Source organism: Homo sapiens, chromosome 16 (genome assembly GCF_000001405.40).
Source record: "Homo sapiens chromosome 16, GRCh38.p14 Primary Assembly".
NCBI lineage: Eukaryota > Metazoa > Chordata > Mammalia > Primates > Hominidae > Homo > Homo sapiens.
In genome coordinates, this window is record NC_000016.10 from 10,174,622 (window position 1) to 10,187,498 (window position 12,877).

The following is a 12,877-nucleotide window of genomic DNA, read 5'->3' on the forward strand; positions in this document are numbered from 1 at the left end:
CAAAAAAACAGGGAGGTGTAAAGAGGAACCAATTATTATCTTGGAAATAAAGTATATCCTTGTTGAAATCTATAACTCAACAGATAGTCAAAATAATAGACCATCCATGCTGTTTCTTTCTAAAATAAAATAATAGACCAGACACAAATGAAATGATGTAGTTAACTGGAGTATAGAATTGAAGAAACCTTCCCAAACACAGCACAAACAGAGAACTGGAAAAAAAAAAAAACAAGATACATGGAGAATTGATTGAGAAATTACACATATATATATAGTACAGTCATGTGCTGCATAAGGAGGTTTAGGTCAACAATGGACCACAAGTACACAATGCTGGTCCCATAAGATTATATTCTAAGTTTTTGCTGTACCTTTTCTGTGCTTAGATATGTTTAGATACACAAATACTCACCAATGTATTACAGTTGCTTACAATATTTAGTATAGCATTCATACAGTAGAGTATGCTGTAGAGGCTTGTAGCCTAGGAGCAAGAGCCTATAGCTCATAGCCTAGGTGTGTAACAGACTATACCACCTAGGTTTGTGTAAGTGCACTCTGTGATGTTCACACGATTAAATCACCTAACGATCCATTTCTCAGAACGTGTCCCACCATGAAGCAACGCATGACTATACATATGCATGTATATTCAGAAGGAGAGAATAGAAAGAATGATGGAAAGAAAGAATCCAACAGATAGCGGCTGAGATTTTCTCCAGAATTAAAGAAAATCTTGAATCCTCTAAGAAAGTCCACAGAGGGCAAAGCACAATAAGAAAAACCATATATACTATAAAATCCTGAGCATGCAACTAAATAGATAAAAGGAAATACACCAAAGTGTCAGTAATGTTTACCCATGGTGATAGGATTTGGAGAGAGATTTTTATCTTCTTTAAATTTCAATGTATTTCCTAAGTGCTCTACAATGAAAAGGCATTATTTTTATATGTCTGCGGAGGAGAGAAGCATTTGTCATGTCAAATACACATATACAGATAAACAGTTTTTTTAAAAATCTGCCCTCAAACGACTTACACTCTGGCAGAAGACATGAGGCTTGCATAGGAATAACATAGAAAACGAAACCCAAGTGATAACTGGCATGGATGGATATAGCTAAAATCTGAGCCTCGTCTTTTCCTGCATGGAGCAATTAGGAATATGGGGAGAAGTGATGGGGGGTGAGAGGGTTAAGGACACTGAGCAGAAGTGTAAAGATCTAGCCCATATTCTGGGCTTACCAGGGACTATTACTGCAGCTGGAGTGTATTTCACTTAGACAGGGTCAAAATGGCCAAGCCAAGATAAGATTAGAACTTCATCTACATCGAGCATTATTTTCACCTCTTATTTATTGATTTTAATTTTCCTTCTTTTTTTTTTTTTTTTTTTGAGACAAAGTCTCACTCTGTCACCCAGGCTAGAGCGCAGTGGCATGATGTTGGCTTGCTGCAACCTCCACCTCCCAGGTTCATGCAATTCTCCCTGCCTCAGCCTCCTGAGTAGCTGGGATTACAGGGGCCTGCCACCACATCCAGCTGATTTTTGTATTTTTGTAGAGATGGGGTTTAAGCATGTTGGCCAGGCTGGTCTTGAACTCCTGACCTCAGGTGATCCACCCGCCTTGGCCTCCCAAAGTGCTAGGATTACAGGTGTGAACCACCTCGCTCAGCCTTATTTTCACCTCTAATTTAGTTATATTGCAAGACTACCCAATGATGCGAGCAAAACATTAGCACCTCCATTGTAAATTAAATTAACACCACAAAAATCCACCACATTTGCATGACATTTCAATTGTTATAAGGCTTTGTTATTTTCTTCAATGGTCAAGTAGACAGACAGAAGGAAAATGTGGCACATACACACCATGGAATACTATGCAGCCATAAAAAAGGATGAGTTCATGTCCTTTGTAGGCACACGGATGAAGCTGGAAACCATCATTCTCAGCAAACTAACGCAAGGACAAAAAACCAAACACCGCATGTTCTCACTCATAGGTGGGAATTGAACAATGAGAACACTTGGACACAGGAAGGGGAACATCACACACTGGGGCCTGTCATGGGGTGGGGGGAGGGGGGATGGATAGCACTAGGAGATATACCTAATGTAAATGACGAGTTAATGGGTGCAGCACACCAACATGGCACATGTATACATATGTAACAAACCTGCACGTTGTGCACATATACCCTAGAACTTAAAGTAAAAATAAAAATAAAAATAAAAAAAGTTAAAAAAATGTGTGTGTGTGTGTTCATTTTAACTGATAACCAAATTGACTACTATTCTTACCAGCAGGGGCACTATCATGTTGCCAATGTAGAAGTAAATATAACACACGTGTGTTCTGGATGACTTTACCAAATCAACATCATTTTAACAGGAGGCAGAGGCCTTGTCAATCTAGGAAGGTTGAGGCTGTAGTCATAATACCATTTGCAAGCGAGGCAAGGCAGAGTTTTAAACAATGCACCGTGACTGTTTCTTTGGAGACAAATAAACTCAATGTTCAGCTCTAAATGAAACATGTGGCAGAAGCACAAGCCATCTATATATGTTACTAATGGAAGGAAGGGCTGTTCACCTCTCAGACAATCTCCTTTCTAAATACATCCCCAGTTTCTCAAAATACGACCTTTTAAACCAACTTCTCTTGGTATCACCCAACTCCTCTCAATATCACCGTTCCACATGGGGACCAGACATATACCCCGATGTTACCTCCACTGAGCTCTTTGCTTCCCTGCCACCTTGCCTCATCTCCCTACAGTTCCACCAGAATCACAGAGAGTGGCCAATGTCTCCAAGACCAACTCTGAAAGTCCCAACAACAATCAGGAGTATCGAATCCCCTCCTCCATTTTTGAACCAATGGACCCTTTCATTCTTCTTCTCTCCAACCCCTCTTAAGTCTCTATTCTTTATTTCTCTGGAAATGTCTTTTCTCATCTTCCTCTTGCCCTTTCCTGATTCCTTTTCTCTTCTTACTCTTAAGTGAGGTCACATTTTGGTCCACATCCCCAAAACGCAGTTTCATCCCAAAGGAGAGAAGAATGTTTCCACCCATACTCCCTGGACTTCTCAAAACTTTCTTTCTAATGCCCCCTTCAAGGGAAGAACAGTTGCTGGTCTAGTTGGTCACAACCTGCCATTCACTGGGTCAAGATTCACTAGCAGGCAGGGTCACTGCCTATCAAGGGGGTTCCCTTCCATGACCCTACACTCTTCCGGCTTCTCTCTGCCTACGTTCGGATGAATGAGTCACATGACAGCCTGAGCCACACACCTATCGACTGAGACTTAGAAGTAAGAGCCAAAGCCTACCCGGAACCTCCCAGTCTCACACCACCTTTTCCAATTCAGCTTTTCCCAGATTTCTCCATTGGGTTGTGCCAAACCCTCATGGATCCAGAAATTTCACTTTCAGTATGGTTACTGTTTCCAGTCTATCACTCCTTTAGAAAAACTCAAGAAGGAAGAAGGGATCCGTGGTAATATTTAAATCCCAAAATCATACTCCAAGGCGTGGCTGGAAACTGGCTGTTCTTCTCCCTCAATGCCTTCTTTAGAAGATTGGCCCCTCCCATACAAAAGCCCTCTAGGCTGTGATTCATCATAGCTCTCCATGCTCAGCCCCTCCCACAAAATGAAACTGATCCCTTGTCCCTCCTGAAGATGGATGACATCATTAAAGTATGGGCTTGATTTAGTGGAATGGAAGATCACACCTTGGGATCAGAAATTCAGCTACCTAGCTACATCAGCCACTATGTGGTCTTGGCAAATTCCCTTAACTCCCCTATGGCTCAGTCACTTCATCTGAAAGTTACAGCATGCTCCAAGAAACCCTAAGATGCTCTCCAGTTCTGAAATTGTCAGTGGTGGCAGAGCATGGCTAGTCCCTACTCTCTTCTTCCCAGACAGGAGCCCCCCAAAACTGAGAAGTGACTGGGAAAATGCTCAGCTACACACAGGAATTCTGCTAGCCTGCAAATCATTTAAAATGAATGTTTAATAAGACACTGCATCAATTGTGTGCTACAGCTGAATGTGCTGCAGCCCAGGAGACCTGAAAGAATTAATACGGTTACCAAAGGAGCTGGTAGGAATCGCTGAAACAGAAGCAAAAGCTGATGTGATGAATATAAAAGTGCTTTGAGAGCATCAAAAGGAAAGCGCTACAGTGAATGTCTGCTCACTCCACTAGAATATCTCCTGCCATCTAAGGAACACTCTCCAAGAAGGTCTCAGGGCTAGAGGCTATGGCACACAAGTACACTTACTCTTTCCTCGCCTTCTGAACTCCCAATCTTTTCTCAGGACTTAGAGGACAGTACACACACAACTCCAATCTTTCCCTTTTTTCTCATTCCTCACTTTACTTCTTCATTCCAGCCTTCTTCCTTCCCTCCACTTCTGTGTAATTCCCAAACCAGGCTGTCATAACATCGCCTTCAAATCTTCAAATCTCTCTCCCTTCTTCTCCAAACCAAAGCTCCCAGGCTGTCCACAAAAAAGACCCTCCCTCTCATTCAGAGCCAACTGATTTTTGTACACTCTTTCTTGCATTTTGAGACTCTCCAACTTTAGTACCAAGACCCATCTTTGTTCAGGAGCCAACTCCTTCATCTGAGGGCCTTGGAGCCCCAGACAAAGAACACGTAAGGAAAATGCCAGGCCCTCCATGCTCTGGGTTTGGAGTTAATTCTTTCCACTCCCACCCACTCCCCTTGAGGAACGGGTCTCTCCTCCGCTCCTCTGGCCCAGGGCTTCTCAAACTCCCCACCTCTGTTCCTCTAACTGCAGAGTCAGAGGAAGCATGACATTTTTTCTGCCCTTTTGTGCTTTACCTAAAAACTTTGCATTTTCTTCCAGAACCTACCCACATTTAATAATTTTTAGAAATAGTTTTAGTCACTTACCATAAGAGGAAAAAATGGACATTTTCCCACAAAACAATCAGGTAAAACTGGCATTGTGAAAATAGGAAGCATATGTCTCCAGTGCTCCTGGGCCCACCTCTGTGCCCCATGGTACTCGTAAATCTCCAAACATGCCACCACCGCCACCACCACCACCCCACAGCCTACTTCTCAGTTTTCTGAGCGCTTCCTGGCACACACACACCAAAGTGCTCCTGTGTACACCATTTTCAGAAACAAGGCAAAAGGCATTTCCATTCATTTCTGGGTTGGAGAGGCAAGACCTGGTTCTCACCAGGGCCAGTGGCCACGACCCTCCCACCCCCACCCCCACTTCACATCAAGACAGATTCTAGGGGCGTCCGAAGACCTGCAGCAGCTGCCATGCAGCTGGTGGCTTCCCAGGTCCTGGCAGGGCATCAGTTTCCGGCCTTACCTTGTCAGCCATGATCATAGATGCGCCCCCATGAATGCCCAAGATGGGGACGAAGGTGTGGGAGGAGATAAAATCCAGCATCTGGGCTACGGCCTCCTGGTCCGTGTCGTCCCCAAACACGAGGCCGTGGATGCGTGCCCCGGACATGAGGTCGCACACGTGCGTGATGAGGCTCTTGGGGTCGGTGCGGTTCATCAGCAGAGCTACCACGTTCACGTCCAGGGGCAGCCCCGCCGCCTGCTCGGGGCCCCACAGTGTTCGAAGTTCGCGCTCTGTCACGTCGTGGCTGTGACCCAGCATCACCGCAATATTTAGCGCGGGGGGACCCTTCTCCGCCGCCGCGCTCGGCGCCGGACCGCGCCAGACCAGAAGGGCCGGCAGCACCAGCAGGGTCCAATAGCCCACTCTGCCCATAGTCGCCACTGACGGTCCCTGCAAGGTGAAGAGTGAGAGGCAGGGCCGCGGTGAGCAAGGCGACCAGAAGAAAGGGATTACCAACTTGGCTTCCTGCTCTAGGAGCCAGGCATGGAACTCAGCAGCAGGATAGGCTGCTGGGATCACGGACTCCATTCCGAGTCCCCGACGCCATCCACATCCCTCGATCCATCTCTAACTCTATCCACAACTCCAATTCGAGCTAATTCTCCATCCCCCAGCCCCTTCTCGCATCCAGCTTCCTCATCCCCTGTCTCCAGGCACTTCCCCATCCCCATCTCTGTCCATATCCCCCACCGCATTCCCCAAGTTCGCCGCGGGCCACAGACCCTAAGCGCCGCGCGTGTTCTGTACCCCACCAAGCTCCTAGGTGCACAGAATAAACCCTCCATCCAACCCCTCCCACCTGGGATAGAGAGGACCAAGTTATCAACCCCGCCCCCTGCTGGCGCGGAGCGAACTACAGACCCCGCAGGGCGTGCGGAGGCGGCACCCAGACCCCGCGTCCCAGCTTGAGAGCTCAGCTAGTTGGCTGACCCCGCCCCCTACGAGCCCGTCGTGTGCACCACACACTTTGCTCTACGCCCAGCCCCAACTACAGACCCGGCTCCTCTCAGTCAGAGTACACCCCAAGTGCTTGGGAGTGAGGACGCTGCCTGGTGGGCCCAGGCTCCGCTGTGCCTGGGGAACTTGGGGCTCGCCCCACCTCGAGCCAAGGGGCCGTGGAGAGTCCTTCACCCCTACACGCGCGCGTGCACACACACGTGCACACACACACGCACACACACATGTTCACACACACACACCCTCTCTCACGCGCGCCGTGTGCAATGCTGAATTCTGGAGAGTAGGCGCGTCCCCCCGCGGGCCAGCGCGTAGGAGCTGGCAAAGAACGTGCGTAGGGGGAAAGGTAGGCTCCCAAGAAGCTCCCAGACGGACGTGGACTGTACAGCCCCTCCCTAGCCTTTCTACTGCGGGCGCTGTTGCCAAGTCCTAGGTGCACGTGGGCAGTGGGCCGCACACGCTCATAGGCACGCGCGCTTTTCTGCGCACTTCCTCAGACTGCTGTAGCGGTGCCCACGGCCAGCCGGAGTCCTCACATGTCCTCAGGTGGTGCACACGCATGAACTGCGGCAGGTGCACAGCCCTGCGTACCTGCAAATACCAGCACGGTCGTGCACGCGTGCCCTGACGCGCGCCTCTCGGGACGGACGCTGCTGGAGCCGGGGGAAGTTGAGGCGAACTCCAAGAGGCCTCGACGTTCCTGGGTAAGCGCCGCGGAGCGCGGAGCCGCAGCGCCCCCTGGTGCCCCTCCTGCACTTCGCCGCTGGGCTCCCTCCCGCTTTCCCTCTCCCTCTCTAGCCTGATCCCTCTCCCGCTCTCCCTCCGGTCGAGTCTCCCTCCTCCCCGGCCCAAGGAGCCCTGATCTCCCTCTGGGACGTACCTGTAGCCCGAGAAGGTCGAGGATGCAGTGGGGCGCGCTGCGCGCACGAGCATCTCGGCCGCCTCAGCAGCCACCGGGTTTAGCGGGTTCCCGCATGCTGCGGCCCCAGCGCGCTCCCCTGGCTGTCCCGCGCTGTCCGCATCGCCCCCACGGGGGGCGGCTATCCCAGCCGGAGGCTCTGCAGCAGGGCTCTAACGGGGCGGAGGAGAGAAGGAGAGGCAGGGTCAGCCCACCAACGAGGGGAGGGAGGGTTGAGGGGAAGGCTGCAGTCTGCAGTGCTCACAAGCCCCCCTATGCGCCCAGGGGGGCTAGACAAGAGGGGGGAAGCTGAAGCCCGATGCCCACGACGCCCCCAGTGCGGATCCTCAGCCCCTGTGGCTGATAGCGGGAGCTCCACTCCAGGGTGCACAGGAGAATGGGAGCCCCAGGTTGGCCACCCACGAGAAGCTAACTGGGCACCTCCACCCGCACCCCCTACCACCTCCCCAGCGCCGGCTGCTGGGAGTTGTGCGACCGGGAGCTGCTGAGCGAGGGAGGTAGGGAGAGAAAGAGGAGGTAACGAGGGTGGGGGGGCGCTGGCTGAGTTTGTGACGAGCCAGCAGTAGGAGAGGGGGAGGGAAGGACGCGGGCTCCCGCGGTCCCGGTTCCCCGAGGGAGGTGGATCTTTCCCACGCAGCGACCCTCTTGTGATCCTGCCGCTTCCTCCCTCTTCAGGCCTCCCACCTCCCCCCTTCCCAAGGGGGCCTCCCAGGCCCGGCGTCCCGCGCTAGCACTCACCGCAGCCTCTCTCCACATAGTTCTCAGCAGTGGCCGCTCCTGGTCATCTCCAGGGCTGATGGCTGCGGCCGCGATTCTCAGCGCTCACCCGGTCCCATGATCCGGCCAAGCCCTAGGAGCTCCCCTCCAAGATCCCTAGCTCCGCTTCCTGCCCCACTCCGGACGGCAACTGCCCGGTCCTCTGAGCGCGCCGGAGCACCCTCTCCGCAACCCAGCTCCGGGCTGGTGTGTTTGAGGGCGAGTGTGTGTGTGAGTGTGGGAGCGCGCTCGCGTGTGGCCGGGGATCCCCGCGGTCCCCGGCCGAGAGAGGCGCGGGCGGGGAAAGGCAGCTCCCTCCGGGCCCTTCGCTGCTGGGCCAGCTCCGCGCCGGGCGTTCGGCTCCCCACTTCCCAGCGGGAGTCCGGTGAGCGCCTGGACACCCTGGTTCACAGCACTGGCAAAGCCGGGTTCCCGGGGCGTCTTTCTGCTGCGGTCGCCTCCGAGGAAGAGGAGAAGGAAGGTAGCGGCGCCCTCCACACCAACTTAGGGACTTGTTCTCAGCCGGCGAGACGCAGTAGCCCCCGCTCAAGCCCAAGAGGCTTCGAGCTCCGGCGGGCGAAAGCGTCTCCTGCCCGCAGCCTCTCTCCTAGGTGGGTCGAGACAGACCCCGCAGTCCCTCGGCGGCGACGCGGAGCGCGGCCACCCGTTCCGAGAGCGCACGGCGGCAAATAAGGCCAGGATAGGTGGCTGGCTGGCGACGGGGGCGCCTGCGGCGGCGCGCGCTGCTGTCCGTGGTGTTGGAACCACGCTCTCCGCCCGCTCCCGGGCGTCTGGTGCGGCTGAAGAATCAATTATTCAGATCTCTGCTACCGCTTCCTCCTCCCCCAGTGCCTCGCGCTGGGTACAGTTATCCCCCTCCACGCACAGGCGCGCCGACACACACACACACACACACACACACACACACACACACACAGAGTCTGCTCCAATGCTTCTCCCTGTGCCTCGCCACCCCCGTACGGGAACCCACTCCTCTGATCTCAGGGAGCCAGAATCCTAAAAGCAAAGACATCTGCATTTCCCACATGCTTCCTTCTAAGTTCTACCAAACAGAAGCCTCCCTGAGGCTGCCACTTCTAAGCTACCAGAAGAGGTGAGCCAGAGAACATGGGACGGCCCGGGTGTGTGAGGGCTTGGTTGACTTGAATTCTAGCGACTGGGCATGAAATACATGGTCAAGGGAGGAGCTCTGCCCCTTTTATATTCACCTGTATCTCCAACGCCTGTCTGCCTTTCAGGCCTTGGAAGGAAAGGGGTCTTAAATTCTAAGAGGTTTTGCAATGACTGTTCCAACCCTGCCTCCTCCACTTAACCTAATGTCACCTGCTGCGGTCTAAATGTGTGTGTTCCCACCCCCAAATTCATAGGATAAAATCCTAACTCCCAAGGTGATGGTATTAGGAGGTGGGGACTTTAGGAGGTGACTTCATGGCTTCATGAGAGTAAAATGGGATTTGTGGTCTTATAAAAGAGATGCCAGAGAGTCAGCTAGGTCCTTCCACCAAGTGAGACTTAATCAAGAAGGCATCGGCCTATGAACAGGAACTAGGCCCTCCCCAAATACTGAGTCTGCTGCTGCTTCATCTTGGACCTCCCAGCCTCAAGAAGTGAGAGAAATAAACTTCTGCTGTTGATGATGTTTTGCTATGGCACCTGGATCAAACTAAAATATCACTTTTGGACATTATATTACTTCCCTTTATTGATCACTAATCTGGAAATGGGGGGCAGTAAAAACATCTACTTCTCAGGATTATTTTGAAAAGAAAAGGAAGTAGCCTTAATAAAGGGGTCAACAAGGTCTGGCACATAGTAGATGCTCAATCAACATCATGCACCTTGAAGTAGCCTGGAAGCAGGGGAACTTCTTCCAAGAATGTGGATGTGGCTGCTGAAATGGAGACAGGAGAGGGGCACAGTGTGTGGAGACAAATGGATTCATTATTGAGCTGGTTGTTCTATGCTGGGTTTCCTGGGTTTTTGTTTTTGTTTTTTTTTTAATCCAAAAGACAGAGAAAGCGTGAGGGAAATGCTGGAAAGTAAATTAAAATGGGGGATTGTATAATATAAGGCAGGGAACAGGAAAATGTTTCCTTTCTTGAGTCTATGGCTGGGCTGAACTGATTAGGCCACTCCTTGGCACCCATGCAAGACTCTGGCTTGGGGTCTAAAGGGGAAGTTAGGCCATTTTATTTAAATGAGTTATAAATTATAGACAATAAAATGCATATCTCTCAAGGGTTTCATTTGTGAAGGTTTTTTGGTGTTTTTTTATTTTTTTGTTTGTTTGTTTTGTTTTGTTTTGTTTTTTTGACAGGGTCTCACTCTTGCCCTGGCTGGAGTGCAGTGGTGTGGTCGTAGCTCACTATTAACTTGAACTCCTAGGCTCAAGTGATCCTTCTGCCTCAGCTTCCCAAGTAGTTAGGACTTGTGGTGGTTAGCACATGCCACCACATCTGGCAAATTTTTTATTTTTTGTAGCCATTGGGTGTTGCTATGTTGTCCATGCTGGTCTCAAACTCTTGTCTTTACGAAATCCTCTGGCCTTGGCCTCCCAAAGGCTGAAATTACAGGTGTGAGCCACTGCACCCAGCCAGTTTGTTACTTTTGAGATTGTGTGTATCCACATAGACCGTCACGTAAAATGAGGTACAGAGTATTTTCATCACCACCAGGAAGTTTTCTTGTGTCCCTTTGTTGTCAATCCCACTCCCCCCATTCAGTGTAAACTACAATTTTGATTTCTAATACCATGTATTAGTTTTGCCCTTTTCTGAACTTCATATAAGTGGAATTTTACACTATGTATTCTTTGGTGACTGGCTTTTTTCACTTACCCTGATGTCTAGAAGATTCCTCTGTGTTGTTGCATGTATCAACAGCTTTTTTATTTTTTATTGTTGAGCAGCTAGCTCTCTATTGCATGGATAAGCCACACTTTGTGTATCCAGTCTCCTGCAATGGATATGTGGGTTTTATCTATGGGACTTTTTAAAATACAGATGTGGCTGGGTGCAGTGGCTCACGCCTGTACTCCCAGAACTTTGGGAGGCTAAGGCAGGAGGATCACTTGAGCCCAGGAGTTTGAAACCAGCCTGGGCAACATGATGAGAGCCCAGGAATTTGAAACCAGCCGGGGCAACATGATGACAACCCAAGTGTTCACACTGCTGCACTCCAGCCTGAGTGACAGAGTGAGACTTTGTCCCAAAAAAAATAAATAAAGAAAATAAAACACAGATGCCTATGCCCACTCTAGATCTACTCCATCAGGATCTCCAGGTGTGGGGCCAAGCACGGACAGTTATTTTAGATCCATAGGGGATTCTGATGATGCCTCTGCACTTGCTATTCTCATAAATTGATGCTGACCCTGAAATTGGATTTGTCTTTCTTGAAAAATACTGGTATTCAGGGTTTTAAGTTATTCATGATCAGACTTATAGAAAGATAAATCAAACTGATACGGCCTCTTTTGAATAGAGAAAGAAGGCAGCCCTTCATTGGAAGGGACACTGTGCCTCTAAACATAGGCACAGGAGGCTGGAGTTGCACTGGGGTGGACATGTCACCAGGGTGGAGCACATCGTGTGTCAGGCACCTGGAACTTCACCATACATGCAGAGACTGTGACAGCGTGTATAAGATCATGACAGCCTTACTCCATCTATGCTGCCAAGCTTAATTCTCAATGCAGCTTAGGATGCTAAGCAGAATTTTGCTGCTCAAAGAGTTTCAGATGATAAGAAAAACTTCTTCATAGCAGCTATATCAACTGTGATGGTTAATACTGAGTATCAACTTGATTGGATTGAAGGATGCAAAGTATTGTTCCTGGGTGTGTCTGTGAGGGCGTTGCCAAAGGAGATTAACATTCGAGTCAGTGGACTGGCAGACCCACCCTCAATCTGGGTAGGCACCGTCTAATCAGCTGCCAGCACAGCCAGAATAAAAGCAGGCAGAATATGGAAAGACTAGACTGGTTCAGTTTTCTGGCCTCCATCTTTCCCCTGGGGCTGAATGCTTCCTGCCCTGGAACATCGGACTCCAAGTTCTTCAGCTTTGGGACTCGGACTGGCTTCCTTGCTTCTCAGCTTGAAGTCTATTGTGAAACCTCACCTTGTGATCATGTGAGTCAATATTCCTTAATAAACTCCCCTTTAGTCTGGGCACGGTGGCTCATGCCTGTAATCCCAGCACTTTGGGAGGCCGAGACGGGTGGATCACCTGAGGTCAGGAGTTCAAGACCAGCCTGACCAACATGGTGAAACCCCAGCTCTATTAAATACAAAAAATTAGCCAGGCATGGTGGTGTACACCTGTAATCCCAGCTACTTGGGAGGCTGTGGCAGGAAAATCACTTGAACCTGGGAGGCGGAGGTTGCAGTGAGCTGAGATTGTTCCACTGCACTCCAGCCTAGGCAACAAGAGCAAAACTCCGTCTCAAAAAAAATAAAAAATAAAATAAAATAAAATAAACTCCCCTTTATATATACATCTATCCTATTAGTTCTGTCCCTCTAGAGAACCCTGGCTAACAGAACCGACAAAGACTTCTCTAAGTGAAAGAACAAGGAGCAGCTCTTCCACATACCTGGGCCGGCCACACCGCTGCACCCCAAGAGGAAGCACATTGGGTGCCCCTTCTCACACTCACCATAGGAGGGCAGCTTCCATGTCCAGAGGAAGCCAGGCGTCTCCTGTAGGAAATGTCTTTCTTGTAGGCTCACTCACCATTGCACAGGGAAGCTGGCTCCAACTTAATCTCTGTCACTCAGCTGTGACTGGTCAGAGCAGTCCCTCAAG

The 12,877-nt window shown here is 50.2% G+C and overlaps 1 protein-coding gene across 7 annotated transcripts in view, besides 2 other annotated features; it reads right to left on the reverse strand.

Moving 5' to 3' along the window:
- GRIN2A (glutamate ionotropic receptor NMDA type subunit 2A) overlaps positions 1–8,287 on the reverse strand; it is a 429,505-nt gene extending 421,218 nt beyond the window's left edge. The window contains exons 1-3 of one of the 7 annotated variants that reach the window (NM_000833.5): positions 8,033–8,287; positions 7,256–7,446; positions 5,377–5,808 (exon numbers count right to left, since the gene is read on the reverse strand). In NM_000833.5, coding sequence (NP_000824.1) covers positions 5,377–5,790 — 414 coding nt within the window. In that variant the 5' untranslated portion in view covers positions 5,791–5,808; positions 7,256–7,446; positions 8,033–8,287. Of the gene's footprint in view, positions 1–5,376; positions 6,002–6,966; positions 7,092–7,255; positions 7,808–8,032 lie in introns of those variants that run through there. The other 6 variants (NM_001134408.2, XM_047433994.1, NM_001134407.3 and 3 more) reach the window with 6 other exon arrangements.
- Positions 6,895–7,004: a silencer, noted in NCBI's record as "silent region_7189". NCBI's record gives its function as "represses an Ori minimal core promoter by ATAC-STARR-seq in GM12878 lymphoblastoid cells {active_cell/tissue: GM12878}" and the evidence as "EXISTENCE:reporter gene assay evidence [ECO:0000049][PMID:35858748]".
- Positions 7,015–7,074: a silencer, noted in NCBI's record as "silent region_7190". NCBI's record gives its function as "represses an Ori minimal core promoter by ATAC-STARR-seq in GM12878 lymphoblastoid cells {active_cell/tissue: GM12878}" and the evidence as "EXISTENCE:reporter gene assay evidence [ECO:0000049][PMID:35858748]".